General features: G+C 38.8%; 1 long non-coding RNA gene across 1 annotated transcript in view, besides 1 other annotated feature; it reads left to right on the forward strand.

The window, feature by feature from the left end:
• LINC01933 (long intergenic non-protein coding RNA 1933) overlaps window positions 1–26,928 on the forward strand; it is a 311,552-nt gene that overhangs the window by 280,264 nt on the left and 4,360 nt on the right. The window lies entirely within an intron of this gene.
• Window positions 7,354–7,554: a silencer, noted in NCBI's record as "peak5547 fragment used in MPRA reporter construct". NCBI's record gives its function as "represses an SCP1 promoter by STARR-seq MPRAs in K562 erythroleukemia cells {active_cell/tissue: K562}" and the evidence as "EXISTENCE:reporter gene assay evidence [ECO:0000049][PMID:32103011]".

Raw genomic sequence — 26,928 nt, forward strand, 5'->3', positions numbered from 1 at the left:
AAGGACGTGAACAGACATTTCTCCAAAGAAGTTGTACAGATGGTCAACAAGCACATGAAAATATGCTCACTATCACCAACTATTAGGGAAATATAAATCAAAACCACAGTGGGATATCATTTCATGCCCATTAGGATGGCCATTATCAAAACAAAAACAAACTAATAATTGTTGATAAGGATGCAGAGAAACTGGAAATCTTATGCATTGCTGGTGAGAATGTAAAATGGTGCAGCCATTGTAAAGAACAGTTTAGTGGTTCCTCAAAAGGCTAAATATAAAGCTATATAAACATATAATCTAGCAATCTCAATCCTAGGCATGTACCACAAAGAATTAAAAGCAAGGAGTCAAACAGACACTTGTGCACCAGTGTTCATAGAAGCATTATTCACAATAGCCAGGAGGTAGAAACAATCCAAATGCCCATCAACAGGTGAATGAATGAGCAAAATTTGGTGTATATGCATCATACAATGAAATGTTATTCAGCCATAAAATGAATGAAATTATGATACATCTACAACGTAGATAACCCTTGAGGACATTATGCTAAGTGAAATCAGCTAGACAGCAAGGATAAATAATTTAATATTCCACTTATATGAGATACCTGAAATAGGCAAATCATAGAGACAGAAAGTAGATAGGGGCTACCAGGGACTTGGGGATGGGGGTTGGGCATGAGAAAATGAAGAGTTATTGTTTAATGAGTACAGAGTTTCTGTTTGGAATGATAAAAAAGTTCTGGAAATGGCTAATGGTGGTGGTGGCATAACATTGTGAATGGAATTATGCCACAGAATTGTGTACTGAAAGATGGTTAAATGGCAAATTTTATGTTGTATGTATTTTACCACAATAAAAATGTTAAAAATAGATTGGAAATATTAGAGTTGAATTTGATCCGCACAATTTTGCCTAGGAGTAATATAGAATTAGTGAATAATTTGGATTTCCATTTACAAGATAAAATAACCAGAGTCCCAAGATAGCAACAAAGCACATCAGGGTAACCTAGGAGAGAGTAGAGAAACCAGGACCTAAATTCCATTTCTTTGGTATATGTGTTGAGCCTTGGTAGATAAGAGGTTGATGTTATTAGTAAGCCAATAAAGCAGATAGTTTCTGAGCTTCTGTACTGCACTGAGCCCTGTTCTAGGCCACTTCTGGGGATGGTCCATAGAAATGTAAAGCAAGACATTTATGCGGCCAACAAACATATGAAAAAAGCTCATCATCGCTGGTCATTAGAGAAATGCAAATCGAAACCACAATGAGATGCCATCTCACGCCAGTTAGAATGGAGATCATTAAAAAGTCAGGAAACAACAGATGCTGGAGAGGATGTGGAGACATAGGAACACTTTTACCCTGTTGGTGGGAGTGTAAATTAGTTCAGCCATCGTGGAAGACAGTGCGGCAATTCCTCAAGGATCTAGAACCAGAAATACCATTTGACCCAGCAATCCCATTACTGGGAATATACCCAAAGGATTATAAATCATTCTATTATAAAGACACATCCACATAGCAAATACTTGGAACCAACCAAAATGCCCATCAATGATAGGCTGGATAAAGAAAATGTGGCACATATACACCAAAGAATACTATGCAGCCATAAAAAAGTATGAGTTCATGTTTTTTGCGGGGACATAGACGAAGCTGGAAACCATCATTCTCAGCAAACTAACACAGGAACAGAAAACCAAACACTGCATGTTCTCACTCATAAGTGGGAGTTGAACAATAAGAATACATGGACACAGGGAGGGGAACATCACACACCAGGGCCTGTCATGGGGCAGGGGGCTAGGGGAGGGATAGCGTTAGGAGAAATACCTAATATAGATGACAGTTTGATGAGTGTGGCAAACCACCATGGCACGTGTGTACCTATGTAACAAACCTGCACATTTTGCACATGTATCCCAGAAATTAAAGTATAATAATAATTTTAAAAAAAAGATTTTCTTACCACTTCAGGAACCCCTATAAAATGAATGGCAAATTAAAGAATCTTGAGATGCCAAGTAAGCAAACACCACCTGTACCCCAATAACCAATGGGGAAAATTTTTAAAATAAAATAAGAAAACAAGTTTTAATCTCAAGAATTTTGCAATTTGGTTAGGAGTAACAGTTTAATCATCCATTCAAAAAAGACTTGAGAAATGCAAACTTACAAACTTAAGAGGTAGGTTAGGTGATTTAAAACTATGAAGTACTATAGTAGGTGAGATTCAGTAAGGGTTGGAGATGTCTGGGAAGACTCTGACCTTGAATAGGGCCTTGGTTAGGGCAAACCTGCTGATGTTTAAGGTCTGACAAGTGCCAGATCTGCTGCATTAATGATGGATCACTTCATGAATGCTGAGTTGTTAAGGGGCCTGTCATTCCAGCAAGAGGCTGATGGATTTATTAAAGCTTCCCATGAAAGCTGTACTAACTGGATTAGCTGCTAACATGGATTGAGGCTTTGAGTGGGATTAACCACAATTGCCATGAATTAGTTCCTCTTTTTTTATCCTTTTCTTTCCTTCTCCTATATCTTGACTCTTTGGCAAAGCCAGGTGACAGGGGAACAATAGTCAGGTTTACTTTCTTGGAGTTAAAGGAATCTGGGAAAATCTATTAAGTGACTTTTCTCTGGTTTTTAAACCCTGGGGGATTTAATTCAATGGTAAAGAAACCTTATCCCACAATTTAATTCCTCACCACCAGGGTTTCCATCCCCCAATTCCATAGGCTTAATTAGACTAGTTCAAGGTGGTTTAATCAAGGAGATCCATTTTTAGAGAGTTTTCCAAGTTCTTGCTGGTACTATCATGGGCTTCATTGATGGAGGAGAATGGTTAACAAAATCTTTTCTTCTTTTTCTCTTGCCTTTTTCTTTTCTTTTTCTTCCTTCTTTTTCTTGTTCTTTCCACATTAATTGAGCAATGTTACAATATAAAAACTCAGTTTTGGATACACAAAAATGCATAATGTGCTCATAGCTGAACCTTAGTAAATGTTTTCAAACTGAACTGAATGTATAAGCATATTTTCTTGCTCTTGGGAGTCTCTGCCTGTTGTTTAAGGTCTGGCCATAAAATGGTCCTACTCACTCTTTGATTCCCTACCTGTTCCCAAAGAATTTTCTAGCCAAAGTTGCCCATCTCATCTCTGAAACACAGTGTGACCATTCCATGTTTCAAGTTTGATGTGCTGAACTCTCTATGTGTCTACTCCTTCAAATGTCTTGACCCTTCAAATCTCACTTCACTCCTGGACAGTTTTTCAAGCATTACTCTAGGTCCTATAGTTCTCTCCATCTTCTGTCTCCATCTTTTTTTTTTCTGTATTGCTCCAGTAACTAATGTGTACACAGCAAACTTTATCATCTACCCCTGGGCGATGCTTCTAAACTAGAGTGTGTTTCTATGTGTTTGTCTGTGCCTGTTTCAGTACTGTGGGAAATGTTATTGGCTTTTCTCCTCATCACCACACACTGAATGATTGCTTTTGCAGCTTGTCAGACCTTTACTGGGCACCTAATCTCAGTATTGTCTGACATGGTTTTAAGAAGCTCTTCCTGTAAGTCAACCAAATTTTTAGATGACGTAGATACTCTCAGGTCTGGCTTAGTCTGTGCCTAGAGGTCATAAGTAAATTTGTGGCTGAGGTTTGGAGTCAGTTTATGTTTGGAATTAAATCATCACAGTAAATATACATAAAAATTATAATTAATTCACCCTTTATTTGTTTGTCTCACATGGATGTTTTGCTAGTTACTGTATCCTAGCAGAGAGCCTGTCAAGTAGTAGACACTTCAATACTTGTTGAATAATGAATTAATGAATGGCCTTACTCTATGGTCAGGATTAAGGCCCACCATTGGCTGGAGTTAAGGCTAAGTCTGTGCCCAGGGTTAGATGCTAGTCTTGTCTTGTTTCAGGAGTAAGTCTGGTTATTTGTAGCTGGGGTCAGACTTTATTCTTCGAATGGGAGTGCAGTATAGTTTGTGGTCATGCTCAGGGCTGAGTAGATGGCTAGAGTTAAAGCACAGGGCAAATCTAGAGCACACTGCCTGATTTCAACCTAGAGATCAGTCTAGAGTAGTAGACTGACTCTACCTACAGCATGGACTTCAAAGGTAGTTTTCAACTGAATTTTAGGTAAGTGGATTTCTGACTTCATAATCCATTGAAAGCTACCATCACAGTTTGGAAATAAATGGCCAAATTTCAAGTCCTAGATTAGGGATTCTCTCCTGCAGTGACTGTTGAGCAACAGACGAATTGGTGAATTATGATTGTGAGTTGCTCATTGGTCCTATGTGCTCACTTGCTCTCTGTTCCAGTTGAAATGTCAGTCCCTGTCATCTCTATTGTGATGTTTCTCTGCTGCTCTGTCTGTCTTGAGTTCCCCTGGCTGGCTGTCTCATTGCCTATCTCATTTTCTTTTGTCCTCTCCTAGTTTTTAGCAGTCACCTTGCTGGGTTCTTGCTGAGGCAGCACTGCTCACAAATCATTAATAACTTGGAAAATGGCTCTGAGTTTGGTGATGGATTAATCCCAGTGGTGAAGGAATAACTGGGAGGTCAGCTGCCCTGTACAGGAAATGACCACTGGAAGCCCTTTACCTGGATTTAGGCAAACTTACTCCCCACCGAGATCACTGCCTGAACATATAGAACCTTCTTTTTTGCTGCCAAACCTTCTCATAGTGCTTCAGCTTCCAGGGTCCTGCTACTATTTCATTATCAAAAGTTACCGCTATGGAGTCCTATGCTCTGATCTCTCCTTTGAGCCAAAAGAACCAGGTTTTGATCTTAAAATTGTTATGAGTCAGCTGTTATACTTTGCACAAGTGTTTAATCTCTGCTAGATCTCAATTTCTTCATCTGTAAAGTGGGAATGATAGTCTCTGTGAGAAAAAAAGGCGGTGATACATTTGTCAGTGCTTTGTAAAATTAAAAGTTTTGTGCAAAGGTAAGAATAATTTGTATGAACCTTCTATACAACTTTTTAATGTCAGAAGAGGGATTTCAATGTGATAACTAGGAGTCATGAATAGTATGGGCATTGTAGATACCAAGACAAGTTGAAGAAATACATATTTGGCTTGAGTGATGGGAAATTTTCAGAAATTTGTATTGGTAAGTTATTTTTGCCTACACGTGTAGACATCCACTTTTTTGATTGAACACAAACACCCGTGTATTCACATATGTTTATATATATGAAACATAATGCAAATTTATACATGACAGAGGGAGTAATTTGAAGATAGAATCTTTGCTCTTTTCTTACAAAATACCATGATTCTCAATGAGTTACCTAGTGTTGTTCTTGTTATTTTGTCTGATGCCCCACAAAGACCCATCTATTTATTTTTATTATTAAAAGAAAATACAGACATGTCTGATTCTACTCCATCATTATTCTCCTTGAACCTATCCTGAACAAGATATTTTGCCCATCTCATTGATCCATCATCTTAGATGAGGAGCCCATGCCACATAAAAAGCCTTTCATGAGTCTCACTCATTGTCTTAGATGAGGGATTTTTCTTAGAAACTTCATTCAGCTAATAGTTTGGTGCACCTGCAATCCACAAATGCCACAGTATTGCCACAGGGGATCAGCTGAAACAAAATAGACATACTCTCTGTCTGCATGAAGTTTTGTGTTGCCATTCTATTTGCTAGGTACTAGCACTGCAAAAGAAATGGAGACAAGGTTCCTCTGATTATGAAGAGTGACAATATACAAATAATATTAAAAAAAGATATTAGGTAAATTCCCTGAAGAGAATTAAGCACAATGATGTGGTAGGGAGCACCGAGAGAGTGACTACAGATAATATGGACAAGAAACACACCTCAGAGACTGGGACATTTAAGTTGAAGACTATATGACAAGGAGGAGAGAGTCATGCAAAGATTGAAGACAATGAGAAATCAAAGGAAAGTCAGTGTAGCTGGAGCCAGGTGGGCCAGTGGAAGGGTCAGGAAGATGAGATTGATATGAGTGCAGTTGTCTAGGACATTGTAGGCTGTTTGATTCTAAGTTCATCAGGAATCCACTCATTTTAAGCATCAAAGTGACATTGTTTAATACATATTTTTAAAAGGCCAGTAACTCATTCTTGCTATTTGTGGATTGGGATGATAGCAAAGTCAGGGACACATACTAGGAGATTTTACAGTAGTCCAGACAAGAGATTATGGAAGTTTGGACCGTTGTATTCGTAGTGGAAATGGAAAGAAGAGTAATAATTCAAGTCATATTTTAAAGTGATATCTGTTAGATTTGCCCATCAGGCAAACTGGATGTGAAGGGTTAAAGGAAAATTGCTGTCATTATACTTTAATACGTTTATTCATCCATCTTTACTTGTAGACTGTAAGCTTTTTGAGGCCAGAATCTGATTCTTTAACTATTCCTTCTCCTTGGCACAATGTTTGGCATGGTGGATATATGTTGAATGAGTGAATAAATGCATGCATGCATGTATACAAGAATGCAAGTAGGAGTTGGGTTATTTTGAAGAAAGTTACCCTTTCTCCATGTAAGAATTTAAAAGTTCCATATTTGTATTTGATATAATTTTTTTAAATTTTCCCTCTTCATAAGTAAGTTTCAACAATGCCAGGGCTGCAAACTACTATTAAAGCCAATTATTCCATGTCTGATCAGTAGTGACTTAAAAGCGTCAAACGGTGGCAACCTAACTTCACCAAGGTAGGTTCTGTGAACTCAATCTTCCATTTTCATTTTACCCTGATAAAGCCTGTTTCAGCTTTAGCCATCCTAGCTTCTGGGGATGAGCCAGTTGTAACTGACTGAAATTGATTGCTCATTGAGAAATGAGGGCTAAGCAATGAAGATTGGAAATTTGAGCTGTAAGTTTCATCAGGTCAGACTTTCTGCAAAGCCTCCTCAGCCTAGGGAGCTAGGCTCATTGAACAGGGACTGGTATGGATGGATGGAGGACAATTTAAATTGAAGCTGCTTTTCTGTAGCCTTTGAAAAGCTGCTGATTCATTTACTAAACTAGGCCAGATCAAAAGTGAAGCTGAAGCAACTTTCTCAGATATTTGCTCTAGGAGAGGAATGAGAGCCTGACCTTCCATATATAAATATAGTGGATTGTAGGTTGTATCAACTCATTGGGACTATACAAACTCTACTGACTGTCAGTGGCCCTGCCAGGAAGCCTAGAATACCCATTTCTTTCTTAATTTAAAGCTTCAAACATTTCCTTGAAGGGATGCTATTGTTATGGAGTTTGATAGACGATCTTCAAGTCCATGCCAGTACTTATATGTTAGATATTGCCATTCTTAATCTCTGAAAAAGAGACCATGGAACTCTAGACCATTCTCCAAGTTAAAGCCGGGCATAGGCTAATAAATTCATCCCAAGTCCTTTCAGTCCCAGACGTGGTTCTGCTGCTGTCCGTGGTACTGAACTGTGTCAGACAAAGAAGAAGCCTGGTCTCCCTGAGATGTTGCAGCTGATAGCAAGTTGGAAGTTAGTTATGTTTATTCTTTATGTGATTGTTATTTCAATATTTATTTACAAACATATATGAATCATCTCAACTGTTCAAATTAGAAGGGAACGAAAGGGAATTAGAAAGATACTTAGAGACCTAGAGGAAGAAAAGAAACCTGCCTAAAGTTAGCCATTTGGTGGCAGATCTGAGAAGAGAGAGAAACTTGATCTTAATTCTGTCACTAAGCAACTCTTACATTAAGCAAAAAATGCCTTTTGTTAAAACGACAATTTTGTCATGATGTAACCATCTTCCTAATTATAGAATAAGCAGGTATGAGCGCTACACTCGTGAAAAATAAACCATTTTCTAGTCCTCAGTCATTCGCTTCATAGAAAGTTGGAGAACTGGATATGAATCATCTTTATTTACATCTGGTATGTCCAGAAACATGAGTAAGAAATAGTTGAGACTTATAACTCTGGAGCTGGCTAAATAAAAATTGGGATACATTCCATTGGAAATGTGGAGTTTGCTAAGCCAGTGCATGTCATATATGTAATTGTAGGACTCTCCCTTCTCTAAATCTTCTTAGAGGACCTTCATACTAAACGAGAAGACTAGCCCAAATTAAAAAATAGAGAGATTTGTTGTTTTGTATTACCCACTTAAACAAGTCTCAGTGTTGCCTGGTGGATATCCGTGGTTAATTTCATTTAAGTAACTGATGGGACTGATATGAAATTAACGTATAATTAAAAATATAAGTGTCTTTTTCTAACTTACATGATAATGTTTGAAAAATAATTTTCTCTGAGGTTTCTTAAGCATTTCCCCTGAATATCTTAAAGTACTAATTTGTTTATAAACTTTATACAGGAGGCATTTTAGAATAGTGGTGTGACTGAAGTTACACTGAAGTCAGAATGATCATGTTCCACCAATTACCAGTTGTATGGCCTTAGGAAATTTTATTAATATTGTGGAGCCTCAGTTTTCTCAGTAATAGAATGAACACAATAATATCAACTTGGTAGGATCATTGTATATTTAAATCAAGCAATGCACATTTAGTCCTCAGTGCAGGTCCTCTCACATAGGTGCAAAATAGTGTTCAGTAAATACCAGTAATAAATTAATTTATAAATATCAATATTGGACATTGCAAATATTGGCTCCCACTTTCAAACTATGACAAATTTTATATTAGCAGAAGATGACAATAGCTAAGTGAGCAAAAGATCCCATCACTGTAAGTATTGGTAATGATGTGCCCAGTTAAACTTAGCCAATCCAAATCTGGACAATTTAAGGGAGAGACTGGATACTTATTTCCAACAATGTCCCCATGAATTGTGAATTATTTAAAACCACCCACCTGAAAGGACATGAATCCCGTATTGACGTCATAATCCATTATTTTGATATATGGCTCCTTCCAAAGCTCTATTTCAATGTAATCTGTGTCCCAACAAGGCTGCAGGCTGGTCACACTTTTGCTCTATTGACTTGCCAAGCAGAATTATTTATTTGGCACCAGTAATGTGCTCTGTATTCTATGGCAGTTGGTGATAATAATAGCTTGGTTTCTTTTGGTGCATTTCCTTCAAGGAGTTGAGAGGACATTTGGATACACAGGGAAGGAGAAGTTGCCATATTGCTTCTCCTAACTCATAGCATTAGGCCCCTTAAAAACCACTTTTGGATGATGATAATGTTGAATGTTTATATATATATATATATGATAAAATGACAGTGGCAGGGAAATGAAGAAGAGCAGAGGAAGAGAAAGGAAGGAAAACTGAGAAGAGGGGCAGCAAAAGACAAACAAGAAAAACATAATTTTATTGCTGTAGAAAGACAAGAACTATCTTCAAATAATGCTATAGAGGACCTGAAGAGTCAAAGGTAACTAAAACTGTATGTCACTTTTATTTCCCTTAGGGACCAAATTCTCTTCTGGCTTTCACAGATATCCATAGCTGGATTCACACCACCTATGTAACTTTCCCTCTTTGTTCCCAACCTTGCCTGAGCTAGACCACAAACTATCAGGTTCTAGAATTTCTGACATTATAAGGAAAACTTGAACTAAAATAAACTCCAAAATAATTCATTAATCTCTGAGAATAAAGTCTCAGCATTGGAAGAGATGGGTGTGGGTGGCACCTTTCTTGTCACCTCCCAAAGCGGTAATCCTTTCCTCAAACAAGTAAGATAGCTGGTTCTCAAAAAACAATGGTTATGGAAACTCAATACCTTGCAATATAGGCCATCCTGGTGTGAGAAGTAATGGCTGTAAGAAAGCATTCCTACTGTCAACTTGAAGTGTGCTTATATGCCTCTAATGGCTAGTATTATGGAGGACATACTAGCCATTGTTCTGTGTGCTTAATGTGTATAGCTTCCAAGCCTCCCAATAATTTTGAAAGATAGATATTATTACTCCCATATCTATAAACAGAAGAAAATATGACTCAAGGAGGTTAAATGGCTCGTCTAAGCTCACATAGCTTGTAAGTTCTGGAGCTATACTCAAAGCCAAGACTGATTCTATAACCTTTTCTTTTTTCACTTCTTAACTGATGGCATTCCCTTCCTTTTCAGCTGTCAAAACCTCACTTGCTTGACAAATAACTAATGCATGCGGGGCTTAAAACCTAGATGATGGCTGGTTGGGTGCAGCAAGGCACCATGGCATATGTATACCTGTGTAACAAACCTGCACATTCTGCACATGTATCTCAGAACTTAAAGTATAATTAAAACAAGAAGAAAAAAAACAAAGAACAAAATGTTACCTTAATTCCCAGTTCTTCTGTGAAATGCTCTTGGTCACCCCATCCTGGAGTGCTCATCTTTCTATTATGAGCCATTTCCAGCAATTTAGTTCTGTAGAATTCTTATGGCAATTACTGTGTAAGATCATACATCAAGAAATCTCTCGTACTGGAACCTTAAATTTTATTTAAATATTTTTTAATTATTTAAAAATCATGAAATGCCAGAAACGGAAGGCACAAAAGAGGTGATAAAAATGACAATACTTGGTAGTATTAAGTATTTACTATGAGCTATATATTACTCTAAGTGATTTACTTGCACTAATTCATTCAATGCAAATGAAGTATGGATTATGTATGGTATGCACATATGTTTCACCATTCTACAAATGAGGAAATGGAAATACACAGAAATTAGTTAATTCTCTCATGGCCAAAAGCTACAGCTTCATAGTTACTCAAATCCACAAGGCTTTGAAGTGGAATTTTTTTTTGAGTGTGTTTGGCAGCAAAACCTGATCTGACCTAAACTGATTTTGTGGCAAAGCTTGTCCTAGCTTGACATCAGACTATTTATAATTATTTATCTCATTTAATGTTAATATTCATATGTTTTACTGTAGAAATATTTATGTGTTTAATTATGGAGCACTGCTCCAGACCTTACTAGGGTTAGCAGTATGCTGTGTAATATTTGGATATTAATTTCCTCACCCTGCCCTTGCACACCCCATCTCCAAATCCTGTATTTGGAAACACATCTAGCCCTAAAGGCTTTGGCAGAAAGCATTTAGATCTGTAGTTAGTGGTAAAAGAGTCACAGTTCAAATCAGGCTATTAGATGCTAGAGCCCAGATTCAAGAAAACTATACTAACTTTTCTTTTTTTAAAATTTTTTAAAAAAATTTCATTTTAAGTTCTGGGGTAAAGTGCAGGATTTGTTAATAGGTAAACATGTGCCATAGTGGTTTGCTGCACCTATCAACCCATCACCTAGGTATTAGGCCTAGCATTCATTAGCTATTTTTCCTGATGCTCTCCCTCCCACCACCCGCTTACCCTGTGACAGGCCCCAGTGTGTGGTGTTCCCCGCCGTGTGTCTGTGTGTTCTCATTGTCCAGCTCCCACTTATAAGTGAGAACATGCGGTGTTTGGTTTTCTGTATACTAGCATTTCTAATACTTCTGTTTATAATGTAACAAAACTTAGGAGCAGTGATCAATAACAAATAGATGGTAAAATATATATTTTTAATATTTTCATGACTTTTAAAATAGGACACTTTTCCTGTGTCCATGCCCGGTCTCTCAGTTGAACCCTTAGCTCTTTGGGGGCAGAGGCAATGCTTGAGGCATTTTGCTCCTGGCCCCACTACAGCACAGTGGTCAAGAGAACCCAAGCTTTGGGGTCACAGGGTCTGTGTTTGAGTTGCAGTCCACTGCTTACTGGCTCCGTGGCTGTGAGCCATCTCCTTTAGCATCAAAACAGAGAAGACAACACCAAAGGGACTTCAGGAGATCATGGATATGTAGTACAGAGCAAAGATGAAAAGAATGACATTTTTTTCTTCATAATAAAGTTTTGATGATTTGCATTTAACCTAACAGGCTTTGGTATTTCCTTTCCTTGTATTCTCATGGTGAGAGCAGAAACAACCGCTGTGCCATGATCTCTGTGACTTACCTTTTCAGTACAGTGGGAAGGGCCAGCCTTGCTGAAAAGTCTTGTTTTTTTTTTTTTTTTTTTTTTTTTTTTTTGAGATGGAGTCTCACTCTGTTGCCCAGGCTGGAGTGCAGAGGCGCGATCTCAGCTCACTGCAAACTCTGCCTCCCAGGTTCACGCCATTCTCCTGCCTCAGCCTCCCGAGTAGCTGGGACTACAGGCGCCCGCCACCACGCCTGGGTAATTTTTTGTATTTTTAATAGAGATGGGGTTTCACCGTGTTAGCCAGGATGGTCTCGATCTCCTGACCTCGTGATCTGCCCACCTCAGCCTCCCAAAGTGCTGGGATTACAGGCGTAAGCCACCGGGCACGGCCAGTTTTTTTTTTTTTTTTTTCCCAGGCGGCTACTTGTGAATCCAATGTGATGAGGCAAACATTGCAGTGAAAAAGATTAATCTTCCATTCCAAGAAGCATGAGGTATTTAGATCTTAACTTGAGAAAAACTATTTTTGGGCTGTATAGGTAGAGAAAATCCTTACAGATAAGGCATTCATAGATATTTCACAGAGAATTAATATTCAGCCATTGATGAGCTTCATCATTAACCAGTTATATTCAAAAAAGAAATGATATTCATGGCCGGGCACAGTGGCTCATGCCTGTAATCCCAGCACTTTGGGAGGCCTAGGTGGGTGGATCACCTGAGGTCAGGAGTTTGAGACCAGACTGGCCAACATGGCAAAACCTCATCTCTACTAAAAATACAACAATTAGCAGGGAATGGTGGCAGGCACCTGTAATCCCAGCTACTCAGGAGGCTGAGGCAGGAGAATTGCTTGAACCTGGGAGGCAGAGGTTACAGTGAGCCAAGATCACGCCATTGCACTCCGGCCTGGGTGACAAGAGCGAAACTCTGTCTCGAAAGAAAGAAAGAAATGATATTCGTGTGAGATAATCCTTCCTTATCCTTTTAGGTAGGCTGTATCAAAATCGATTTACACTGACCATCGGCTGTACTAAAGCACCTTTTGTTTTTCATTAGATAAAATATACTAGATATAAACCAAGGTTTTAGGTTAACTCAATGGGTGAAACAAGTTAGAAGGTTATGTGCATTAGAATCACCAAAGAAGCTTTTTAAAACGTAAATCCTTGGCCCTACCCCCAGAGATTCCAGATTCAGAAGCTGTGCTAGGACTTGGGCATTCATTTTTTAAAAAAATACATTTTAATGGGCATATTTGAGGTTTACAACATGATATATGGGATACATATAGATATTAAAATGATCAATATAGTGAAGCAAATTAACGTATTTATCATCTCACATACTTTTTTTTTGACAAGAGCAGCTAGAATCAACTTTTTAAAACAAAAATCCCTAATTCAATACAATATTATTAATATAGTCCTCATGTTGTACCTTAGGTCTCTAGACTGGTTCATCCTACATATCTGCTAGTTTGTATCCTTTGACTTACATCTCCCCATTTCCTCCCCACTCCACCTCTGATAACTATTGTTTTATTCTCTATTTCTGTGCATTTGACCTCTTGTTTTAAGAATCCAGATCTAAGTGAGATTTTTAAAAAACATTCCCAGGTGGTTTTGATATAAAACCTGGTTTCAAACAACTTCTTTAAGCTAAATGTTGATCTAGGAATGGAAGCTCAATTATTACTTATTAATGTGTTATAATGCCTCACTAAACCAGGCTTCTCATTTGCAAAATGGGAGCTCACTTAGCCTCTCTCGATATGTTTTCTTCTGTGTTGCTGTTTAATGATTTTATTTCTGAAAACATCACAATTATAATATATGGCTCTAGACTGCTAATAAGAATAGTTTCTTGTTTTTAAAATTTTTTTGCCAAGATAGGCATTGTGCTATAACACAAGACATAACAAACTATGGGTAATTAATCTTAATAAGTACAGCAGCAGTGGAGAGAGCCCTGGTTTTTAAATTTTATTATTATTATGGTAAAAAAAAACCCCACATAACGTGAGATCTGCACTCTGAACACATTTTTACATGAACAGTACAGTGTTGTTATTACTAACCACAAATGTATTTTTAACTAAGCACAATGTTGTATAGAGCATCTCTAGATAATTTTTTTATCTTATGTGACAAATTTTATTCTCACTGAGCAGCAACTCTTCATTTCCCCTTCCCTCTCAGCCCCTGGCAATCACCATTATGCTTTCTGCTTCAATGAGTTTGGCTACTTGAAAGTCCTCATATAAGTGGAATGACGCAGTGTTTGTTCTTCTGTGATTGGCTTATTTCACTTAGCATTGCGTCCTCAAAGTGCATTTGTATTGTATCATAGGATAGGAGTTCCTTTTTTATGGCTGAATAATATTTCATTGTATATATGTATTATATATACAATATATAACATATATTATATATTATACACATATATAATATGTAATATATAGATATAGCTCACATTTTCTTTATCCATTCATTTATCGATTGACATTTAAGTTGTCTTCACCTATTCATTATTGTAAATAACACTACATTGAATGTGGGAGTACAATTATCTTTCAAAATCCTGTTTTCAATTTGTTTTGGATAAGTATGTAGAAATAGAATTGCTGGATCATATGATAGCTCCATTTTTAATTTTTAAAGAAACATCTATACTATTTTCAGTAGACTGTACTATTTTACATTTCTACCAACAGGGCACAGGGGTTTCAATTTCTATACATTCTTGCTACCACTTTTTTTTTTGTTGTTGTTTTTAATTGATTAATTTTAAAAATAATGACCATCCTAATAAGTATGAGGTGATATCTCTTTGTGGTTTTGAGTTTCATTTTCCTGATAATTAGTGATGTTGAACACATTTTCACATATGTGTTGGTCATTTTTGTGTTCTTTGGAGAAATATCTATTTAAATCCTTTGCCCATTAAAAAAAATTGAGTCGTTTGGGCTCTTTTTTTGTTTTGTTTTTTTGTTTTTTTCTTTTTTTGCTATTGAGTTATAGGGAGTTTCCTATATGTTTTGGAGATTAATTCCTTATCAGATAGATGGTTTGCAAATAGTTTCTCTCCTACTATAGGATAGGTTGCCTTTGAAAGAACTTTGCTTTTTGAAACAAAAAAAAACTTAGATTATTTTATTCCTTATTTCTCTGAAACCTTGTGGTTAGTAGTGAATTTCTTAACCTTCATTAGCTTAGTCTTCATATCTGCCAAATTGAATAATGGAACCATTCTTAACTAATTCATTACGTTGTAAATACCAAATAACTTAATATTTATTAAAATGCTCTGTACCATTCACTTAAATTATTGACATTTTACAGACCATTACCACAGTTCAACTCATGTATAATGTGGGTGTATAGAGAGCTTGTTTCTCTTAGATTTCTCCATGCCAAAAGTCATAGAGAAGATCTTTTTGCAATCTCTATTAATTAGATGGTAGGGCATATGCTTTTATGTGACTTTGAAAATGCCTGACCATCCATTTCTCTAACTATGTATCCACCCACCCAGTTAAGAATAATTCATGTATGGTAATTATAATAATCATAATAATAATTAGAATTAGAATTTAAAATAATTATTATAATTACAATAATACCTTGTATTTGCATGGTGTGTTACTGTTTACAAAGCACTTTGGCATACATTCTTATCATAGCAGTCCTGAGAGAATGGTTTACCTCTATTATATGGCTCTTTCTTTTTCCTTCCTTTTCTTTTCTTTTCTTTCTTTTTTTTTTTTCTTTTGTCAGAATCTCGCTCTGTCACCCAGGCTGGGGTGCACAGGCGCGATCTCAGTTCACTGCAACCTCCGCTTCCTGGGTTCAAGCGATTCTCCTGCTTCAGCTTCCTGAGTAGCTGGGACTACAGATGTGCACCATCACGCCTAGCTAATTTTTGTATTTTTAGTAGAGATGGGGTTTCACCATGTTGGCCAGGCTGATCTTGAACTCCTGACCTCAAGTGATCTGCCCACCTTGGCCTCCCAAAGTGCTGGGATTACAGGCATGAGCCACCGTGCCTGGCCTATTATGAGGCTCTTTCTTGAAGGTAGCCCATTTAGCCAAAGTTGTAGTTATATCCTTGCTAATGAGAAGCAGAGATGGCTGTCTTAATATCTCTTTAACACATATAGCACAAAATTTGTATTCTCATATTAATATCAAATTAGTTAAAGGAAGTGGTTTTATCCTTTTTTTTCTTAGGTATACCCAAGGTCCAGACGAAGTCCATGACTTGATTAAGATTAAATAGAATTTTCATTGCAAGACTTGATCTCAAGTCTGAGCTTTCTGATTGAGTCCATCTCTCTAGACTCTGAACCTATGTGCCCCAGTGAACCACAGTATCCTCATCCTCATAGGCATCTCTGCTTGCCTCATCCCAGAAAGTTACCATCATTGATTCCTGGCCACCTCCTCCTCTGCAGTGCCGTGGATGAAAATAACCATGTCGCTCTTATCCACATCCTAACCCCATTCTGTCATTTCTGCCTGCATGCTGGTGAAATATGCTTTTGGCTGGGAGAAGAAAATTTGCAAGCTGCCAACCCAGAGATGGCCCTGACAGAATGGTACATTTGACCAGGTTCTGGGAGGAGAAATTGTTCTCTGGTGAGGGCTGTGTTCCAGTGGTCTCTGTGTTGGGAAAAGTCACCCCGTTTTCTCTGCCAGTTTCCCTAAATTCATTTCATAATGGGCTCTATATGAACATACAATATTTATATATACTCACAGATGTAAGACTCATAGTGTAACGAAGACACATTGGAGTTCATGAGTACAGCCTTGCCATTTTACAAATAGGCAAACTGAGGCCTAACAAGTTGGAAGGAACTAGCCCAGTAAAATTGTCATGCATGTGATGCAGTGGTAGGGCCAGCTCAGAACTCAGGAAAACCTTGCCTCACTCTGCATAGAAAAGACATGACCACCAAACATTTTCATAACCACTTATCTTTCTCATCCATTGCACTTATGCAAAAGGAAACTGCATAAGTATTTATTTGTATTTTGTTTATTGTCTTCTCCACTGGACTGGGAACTCCTTGGAAGGAAAGGAACTGAATCTGTCTTGTTCAGTGTTTAGCATGATGCCTAGCATACTGAGAGTTCTCAATAAATATTTGTTGACTGAATGAACAAATAAATGAATATATTAATGGCAAATTAATAAACAAGCCTGGAATAGGACCTGAATTTTAGGATTCCAGAGTGGTAGTACTCCCTTGGAGCAATCTGTCCCTCCATATTTTAGATTTTGTGACATTTTATATTTAATGGCATGACTGGATTTTTCATTCATTTTGTGAGCAAAGGCAAAAGGTCCCTTGCTTTTAGAATGACAAATACAACGTGATTTAAAATTATATGGTATATTCAAAACTGGAACAAGACCATGAATTAGTGCAAAGCTGGCTACAGCCTCTGATAGCACAGCTGACTGACCTAGGGAGGGTGATTTTTCCCAGGGCTGTTTTTTTCCCTCTCAATTCCCCATCCCCACCTCCATCCTATCTTCTCCCTTCCATCCCTTTCTGTCCACTCCATTCCACTCCTCCCTCACCCCATTAGACAGACCCTTGGCCAATTTTTCATGCAAAGGGAAGGAAGAACTAATTTCCAGAGCTTGGCTGCACTCTTAGTCACTGGGGGACACTTGGGTATCAGAGCTAATGTTTGTCCAGCTGGTCAGGTCAGCTGAGTCCTCTTTAGCACAAACAGTCTCTCTCCTCCGTCTGCCTTTATTCCCAGATGTTTGTGATCAAAGGCAGCCCCATAGCCTTGTGGTCCTCTTCTTCTGTTTGGTCACTCCTAGGTCACCGCATCGGAAACAGGAGGATCACCCTGCTGCATTATTTAGTCTAGGTGGGCTTCCTGGAGTAGCAGGCCTTAGAGGTGTTACTCGCTCTATAAGGGACTGCCTGACCATCAACCACACTTTGTCTTTTCACCCTCTTGCCTGACCATTGGCCAATGTTTTCCTCTGTCTGGTCTAGATTCTTATTTCTCTAGACTATTTGTCTGCACTACTCCTTACCTGAAAGAGTGCTATCTTAATTTGTTTTGAGATTTGAAAATTCATCAGTATCAACCTGCTATGATGCCTATTTCTGACCTAAATGTGCTAAACCTAAGGGATCTTAGGCTTTACCTCCCTCATTATACTAAAGGTAACACTGAGGTCCAGAAAGAAAAAATGACTTTTTCAAGTCCTCATGGCAAGTTTTTCTCTCATTATTTCAATTAGTGATTTTTGAAGCCAGCCATGAAAGTAACAAATTGTTAGTAACAGAAAGGTATTTCAAAAGGTGGATACAAAATCCCTGGGAAGCTTTCTAATCTAGTGCCTTTCCATTGGCCTGATAGGGCCCAGGACTGTGTACTTTAAATCCTTCCTCCTAATGACTCTATTGTAGATTTTCTGAGAGCCACACTTGCATTAGTATGGACCATGAGGGCACCCTGATTGGTAAAGCAAGTATGGCCAGGCAGATAAATGACTATTAAGATTGCTCTGGATAATTAAAGAAGAGGTAGACACAGGGAGAGTGAAGAAGGTGATCATAGTGGTGGTGGAGGTGGAAAAGGATGAATGAGTGGTACATTTTAAGCAGTGTTCTTAATTGCAAGCAAAAGAAACCAGCTCAGGCTGCCTGTATTAGTTTCCTAGGGGTAAAAAACCATAGACTGGGGTGGCCTATACAACAGAAGCTTATTTTCATAGTTCTGGAGGCTGGAAGTGCAAGATCAAGGTGTTGGCAGAATTGATTTCATTCTGCAGCAGTGTTCCTTGGCTTGCAGAGGTGGCTGCCTCCTTGCTGTGTCCTCACCTGATCTTTCCTCTGTGCAGTGTGTGCCCCGGTGTGTCTTTGCGTGTTCAAACTTCCCCCTCTTATAAGGACACCAGTCAGATTGGATTAGGGTCCTCACTAATGACCTCATTTTAATTTAATCACCCCTTTAAAAAACTTATCTCCAAATATAGTTACATTCTGGGATACTGGGTTTAGAACTTCAACATATGAATTTGGCAGGGATAGGGAGCCAGGGGAACAGAATTCATCCCATAGCCCTGTCCTAAGCTCACAGAGTTGATATGAGGCTCTTAGACCAGGCTTAGTAATGGGAGAAATCCATGTGGTAGAAGTGGAGAGGATGAGGAAAGCAACATTAGAGAGGAAAACAGTCTAGCCTGGTGAATTTAAGGTTTTGACACTCTACCTCTCCTTCCTGGAGTGATAGGCATATTTCAGCTCTGTTGTGTTTCAATGAAATGAAATAGAGTTAAATGTAAGGCTCTCATTGAAGTTCAAAAAAATCAACTGCACAAATGCAGGTTGAAAATATGAAGGCATATTGAATTACTGAGAATAAAATATAGGGTATGGAGAAATCTAGATTTAAAGCCCTGCTTCAACTTCTTGACAGAGATGCAGATAAATGGAATGCTGACAGAAGAAAGCAGAAAGCAACCAAAAATGTTGAATTATTATGTAATAGTGGGCACTTAAATGTACCAACTTTGTGCCAGGTACTGTTCTAAGTGTTTCATATATATTAACTTATTTAATCCTTATAACTGCTCTATGAGGTAAGCACTGCTATTGTATTTATTGTTCAGGTGAGGAATCTGGTACAAAGAGGTTAAAGTAACTTTCCCAGGACCGTCTAGCTGGTCCTTTGTACCAGATGAGGAATCTGGTACAAAGAGATTAAAGTAACTTTCCCAGGGCCACCTAGCAGAACTGGGAGTTGAACCCAGCCAGTCTGCCTCTAGAGTTCTGTACTATGCTGAAGGATTGAAAAAACTGGACATGTTGATAGAATGGTCAGTTTTCAGATATGTTTTAAGTTACCATATGGAAACATATTGTGTTTATTTTGTGTGAGCCATCAGAGTAGATCTAGAATCAATGGCTAGGGAGATATATCATTAATAAGCAGTTTTCAGCTCAGTATTATAAAGAATTTTAAAATAGTTCAGCAGGGAATTGAGCTACTGTGCAAGCATGGTTGGTCGCCTATATATAAAATAGCTGTTTTCCATTCCTCTTTGCTTATAAAACTATTCTTTGTTCAGAGAGCAGTGGATCCGTCTCCAAGGCATGATTTTCAATTGGCCAAGGCGACTTGCAGCAATCCTCTGCTCGTCTGTGAATGATTGGTGGAGGGATGAGCATACAATCTTGTTCTGACCAGTGAGGTACTGGGGGAAGTTTCCTGGAGTTTGGGGATGGTTTTCTACTTTTACTAAAAGGGGAAGATATGAGGAAAAGCCCCCTGTGTGCATCAATTTTCATCTTGCTTTTGATAGTATATATGGGACAAAGATACTTGATCCAATGAGGAAAACCATCACCGATTTCCAACAAGGTAGAAAGGACCTTGGTCCTTGGTGACTCTTTTGAGCCCCTAACCAACTCAGGTGTCACTTCCCTGTAGGCTTGTTGTTAACTGAGAAGTTTGAAAAGTTTGCCTAAATATACTGTTACTTGGGGCTTAAATCATCCTGTTACAAGTAGCTTGGGAGGTAATGAGTTCAACATCCTTGGAGATGTACAAACAGAGCATAGAGGTCCACTTATAGGAATGTTGTGGCCAAGGGCTCAGGCTTTTTTTGAAGTTTTTACTAGAGGGCAATTAAGGTCACTGCTAGTCCTGATATTATGATTACCTTCCTGCCCCTACCCAACCCCAGCACAAGTCACTCTGTGTGACTCTCTCTGGCTGTGTGTATTGAGCCAGGCTGGCATCCACAGCAGACATTTTTTGTGAGTCACCTATAGTGTCAGGCCTTGGAAAAAGGCAGAGGCTGTGATGTCACAGCTCCTCCAATGACACAGCATCAGGGGACAGCCAGAAATAGACATGTGGAAGCCCTTGCCACTGGCACTCTCTTGTACTCTGAAACAACCCATTTCTCTCAGCTCAGACACCAGGCTGCTGGAGAATTGGAGAACCAAAATAGACTGAACGTCTAGTCACCCTCCTAGAATTCCCCATCTGCTCTGACAAAGTTCTGGGGACACCCAAGGTGAAACCCACCCAGCAGAACATTGAGAACATGACCGAGATTTAGCTGGACTTTGGTTCCTAACCACAGTGGCTCATTCACAGAAAAAGGCCCTAAGACAATGTCTCTAGTCAGCTTTGTCTTCAACACATTCCTAAGGTTTAAGATTGGGATGTGTTAGAGACGAAGGTTTGGTTCGTATCTGACTTCCGGTGCTGCAGACCATTGATTGCTGCTGAAATGTAGCAGCCAAACCTTTTAGAGCCACGCTAGCCATCTGATGTAAAGCAAAAAGCTGGAGACCTTTGACAATTCTGCTTGGAAACAATTTTTATATATTAATGATCATAGCAGCAGCTAATATTAGTTTGGCTTTTAGGGAATCAGTAGATGGTACCTACATCTTTCTCTAAGTCCAAAGCCAATGAAGAGACAGATATAAGAATCAGAACAATCGATATCAAAATATCAGGTCCATTATTGATGAATATGAGGTTGGAGGATTTGGCTTAGGGATGAGGCAACAAGGCATATGTTAATACTGTGCCTAAGAGGTTTTCAGCCCTTCTTTGTTGCACCTAATGCATGACCGAGAGCAGATCTCGGTCACTCTGATAAATCTCTCCTCTCCCATGGGGAATGTGAGTGAGAATGGGAAGAGAAGCCAGGAATGTTGGTGTAGCTGAAGTTCCTGCACGTCAAAATGGGATGAGTGAGGAGTAGGTATTTTCCACAGTCTTATTGACTGAGTTCTTACTAGTTGCCAGATACTGTGCAGACAGCATCCATGTAGACTATCCAGTTTAATTCTCTTTTCCACCTCATAAGGAAAGTGCTAGTATTATCTTCATCTTACTGATAAGGAAACAGAGGCCCAGAAAGACCCACAACTTTACTAAGGTGACACAGCTAGTACGCGTCAAGATGGGATCCAGACCAAAGTCGGTCCGAGGCCACAACAGATCTTGGAAGCAACAGGCTGCAGAGCCTCCCCTGCCTTACTGCACAGCGTTGCTGGGTGCTATGAGGAGATAAAGGAACATGACGTTCTGGATCAGAAGGCTTGGGCTATAGCCCAGGCTCTGCCATTTTTTAGCCTCCACAACTACAGTGCCCTTGCCTGCAAAATAGGGATGATAATGCCTTTCTTGAGAAGCTCAGGGAGTTTCTATGAGGATCAGGTGAGCCGATGGTCATTAAAGTGTTTTGTTACTGGCTGGCCCGGGGCACTGATGTGCATCTAGGGGTAGGAGAGTTCTGAGTTCCGCCGCGCCTCTCTTGATAACTTTCTCAGTGATGTGGTTCAACCACTTGACTTCCTATACCTCAGTTTCGCCACCTGTATAATGAAAGCCCTAGTCCTTGATTTACTAACCTCTCAGAGGTATGGTGATGCTTAAAGGGGATAAAGTCAAGAAAACACTTTCTTTGTGTAATCTAGAGATGTCAGAATATGATGAAAATTGTCATCCTTATCATTGTCTTTTTGTGTGTGTGAGATGTGGCACTTGGGGCAGTATCTATTTTTGTGACAAAATTATTTCTTAGACTCTCATAAACTCATTTAGCTGAAGGATTTTATTGGTGACAAATTTAGGTTTGTATCTCAGCAATTTTATTTAAAAAAATACTAAAAAATAATCTTATTAGAAAATGGTTCAACTTAGGAGCACTAACAAGTATCAGCTTTGAACTAAGTCTTATGTGCTAAGGAGAATAGAATAAAAATATCTAACAGGCATATAGCACTTATGTGCCTATACTGTTCTAAATGCTGTAAGTATATTTATTTAATCCTCACAATAAAACCCTGTGAGCAGGCATTTTATTATGTCTATTTTATAGATGGGAGGTAGGGGGATAAGGGCTCAGAGATGTTAAGTAACATGCACAGGAACGAGATTTGAATCTGCAGTCTAGCCTCAGAATCTCTCTTGTCTTAACCGCTGGAGTGGACTTTATAAAGCACAGTCCCTGCCTTCAAAGAGCTTGCAGAACAGCTGACAGACCAGTCGAGAGCAGATACGCACAGACGATAGATAAGCAAGAAAGGAACACAAGACATTGCTACATTGGATCGTGGGTCAAATGATGCTGTTTGAACGACGGGTTAAAAATAATCTCGAAGTACAGCAAGGTAATGAGAGTGATGTGGGAGAAGTGATGTCTGACTTGGGCCTTTTATGGCAGTAGGGTGTGAGTCAGTAGGAAAAATAATGGGACTATCCATGTAGTACTTGGTCCTATCTAAAGGGACTCATTACTTGAGGAAGCAGCATTGGCTAAACAAATCACTAAATCTAGAAAAGAAATATGTATCATAAAAAGAAGATGGCTCAAGGGATAAACAAAGGGGCAATATTATAGACCATTTACTAATCGTATGACAATTTGTGCCTCAGTGTCTTCTGTAAAATGCAGATAAGAAGATCCATTTTGCCTTCCTGACAAAGTAAAACTGCTTTTGAAAATAATAAAGGTCACCCACACATATTTAATGGGATAACAGTTTTAAAAAATCATTTATATTTTTATCTTTTGTCTTCCTAATTACCTGGGCTTTGCCCTAGATGATTAGAGGAGTCTATTGCTTAAAGGAAGGAAGAGGGAGATTAGGAATGCCAGAGAATGGATACAGACCAAAGGGAACATCCACAAATAACCAGGCTGTAGTCTGGAGAGAGGGTTGCCTCAATTCTTTTAGCTGCCTGTTTAGCATATCAACGGCATGCTTTATCTGAGCCAGAGGTCTCCACAGGAAGGCCAAGTGGAAGAGCCTATCCTTTTCCGGCTTCAAAGATAGTGGGAATCAGAAGAAAAGAGAAGAGAGCAGGAGAACAGAACAAAGACACATGGTCCTATTTTTCTCATCTCGGCTTTGGCACAGGAGGCTCATTAGACAAATTGAGACAACGCTGATTGCTTCTTCCCCAGCCTAAGGCACAGGATGAAACTCCTAGTCCAGTGTGGTGGAGGCTGGACTTGGAAGCAACCTGAGAGTGTGCTTGGGGATCTTGCCAGAGTGGGTTTCAGTGGCTGGGACAAACTGGCACTGCAGTAAAGACTGCAGGTCAGACCCACCAGGTAGGGTGAGTGGAATTCCAGCCAAACCTTAGAGAAGTCTGTGGTGCTAGCAGTAGGCAAGATGAAGCTCAGGTAACCCCAGTTCTGTATACTAGTTGAGGCAGGAGAACAAATGACAATGTATGTCAGGCCAGCTTCCATTTTACCATGAAGGCCAGAGGGGCAAGCAGCAACCAGGTGGCCAAGGGAGGTGCTCCCTGGACCAGAGTGGGCAGGAGGCCATCCCACTACCCTATATACCACCACAAATGCTTGTAAGCCATATATCCCTCTCATCACCTTTGTACCCAGAATTTATCTTCATGGAGAAGCGGAGAGAGGTTATATGAGAGATTAAGCCATTTTTATTCAAACGAGACTGACATCGCCTAAAATGACCATGCAGATAATAAGAACAGACTGGATTTAAACTAGATTGGTCCTTTAGTTTATTTTTCTACCAACTGTCAGATGAAGGTTATAGACAAATGAAAGTTCAGTTACAGGAAAAATAAATTCATTTTACATCCTCATCCAAGTTGAAGTGTGAACAAAATGGTGTGATCCAATTACCTGTAATGTTGTTGTTCTTAAACAATTCTAAGAGTAATATCTCTATATATTGAATTTTTAAATATTTAAGTGGCATTAACCTTTGACTGAAACAAAATAATATATGTAAAAGTCCCTGGCACATATTAGGTGCTAGGTGATTATTAATTGTTTCAATGTTGTTTGAGGTCAATGTCAGGAAAGATAACAGCTATGCTCCTTGGATCATGGCTCTTTGTTCTGCACTGAGAGCCTGAATATTGGGTAAGATGAACCCAGAATAGCATCATTGCTTTCCCTATGTGTGATTGTGTGAGGAATTATGGTCCCAAGCAGAGATTCTTAAATCTAGTCCTGCATCAGAATTATCTGGACAGCTAGTTTGAAAATATAGATCATTTCTCCTCTGTTTCCCCTTGTGATTATGATTCAGTATTTCTGGGGAGGTGCCAAGGCATCTTTTGAAAACCATTAACAATCTGTTCAGATGGCATTTTAAATACCAAGGGGCACTGTGGTACATCTTTAGTAATTTCTTTCCTTCTTTGATTGTTGTTGACTCTTACAGACACATGTGTGGGTAGACTAGAGAAAGTCAGACTTAATTGTTTTTTAGTTTTTGTCTGTACAAAGTTCTGTGTCTAATCAGCTTGGCTTCTGTCAATTCTCTAAATTCCAAAGCAAAACAAGTGTAAGTAAGGGATGATGAGCTTTGTGTTGGGCCGAGTCAAAGAAAATGGCTTCTCCCCCTCATTTCAGCAGAACACAGAGTCTCCAAGCCCAGAGCAATGATTAGATGTGTGAGGAAATTCCTCAATCTGGAAAGAACTATTTTCTTGTTTTTCTCTCCTCTTTCATCCCTGTTTTCAGGTCCCAGGGGGATATGGCTCTTATCAACTCTCAAACAGGAGTTTTACTGTAGCATGACACAAACTGCAAAGCAGAAAAACTATGTGTTAACGATTCCTGTAGGAAACCCTCTTTCTTTGGGGTCCTATCACTTTTATCCTACCTCTGTCACCACTTTTAGTATGTCATCTCCTGAATGTGGCCTCTCCAGCACTTTCTGACTCATAATTTTCTGTTGGTCACCTGACCAAACGATGCCCAGCCTGAAGTTGGCAAATGGCCATTGTGCTGAACATAATCATTCCAGTAAAACATGGCTTATTAGCATAGAAATCTCTATAAGCCTTTCTATTCTAATTTTGCTGTTATAATTCTGGCCCCTTCGGAGGTCATGCTAACCTAGTTAAGGCTCTTGGAGAAAATACTGTCATTCCAGCTCATTGCATTTGCATTAAAATATATTGTCCTTCAGCTGACATGCTAACCAGCAACCCATCATCTGCAACTTCGTGCAGAACCTGAACTGCAGGGCATAATTCGTTATTTAAGTTGGAGTCTGGGAAGCTCAGTGAAAATATATGATGGGCACCAAGACATTAAGGTCTGTAATATTCTGGCTGTGTGCACTTCACTCTGAATGCAGTGAAAAGATTTTGATGAAAAGCAGATTACTACAAAGTGAAGGATGCTAACTGCTAGGGTCCTTGACATGTCACATCCCATAGAGACAATATGGCATTGTGAGGACACAAATGTCAGGGTCAGACTGCTTAGTTGACATCCCTGTTCTACTATATAGGAATTTTGAAAACTAGTGATAATAAAATAGTCATATCTCACTGGGTTATGTGAGATTATCTCTATAGAGTAGTACATTACATGTGCTCATGTCATTAATTACAATTGTTACTAATGTTATATATGCTCAATTGATGTTGACTATTTCTATTAATAACAATAACAAACCTACAGTATGGTTAATCCTTCGTATAGCTCACTCATACGATTTTTGAGAAATTATTTGGGAAAAGATATTTGGGTACTGAAGATACATAAGTAATGAGAAAGGATGATTTCCACCCTCGTAAAGATCATATTCCTGATACAGAACATGGAAGTTAGTGAGTTACCCATTATTGTGGGTCCAAGAAGAGGGTGTGAGATCATTTTTCAAGGTTGCTATAGATTTGTTTTGATTGGATAGGAGATTGTAAACTGCTTAGAACAATACCTAACACTACGTACTAAGTATGCAAGTATTTTATTATTGCTGTTATTGTTATTATTAATATTGTTTGTATCCACAATTACTCGTATTATCTTGTTTAAATCTTTTGACAACCTTGTGAGAAAGGTACTGTTATTGTCTGACATTAATATTGAGGAAATCAAGGCTCAGGTAGGTTAAGTAACTTACCCAGTGTCACATAGCTTATACAACAGAGCCCAGATTTAAACCAACTGCATTGACTCCTTTGAAATTCTTGTTTGCTTGAGTTGAT

The sequence above is a fragment of the Homo sapiens genome, chromosome 5, assembly GCF_000001405.40.
Source record: "Homo sapiens chromosome 5, GRCh38.p14 Primary Assembly".
Taxonomy (NCBI): Eukaryota; Metazoa; Chordata; class Mammalia; order Primates; family Hominidae; genus Homo; species Homo sapiens.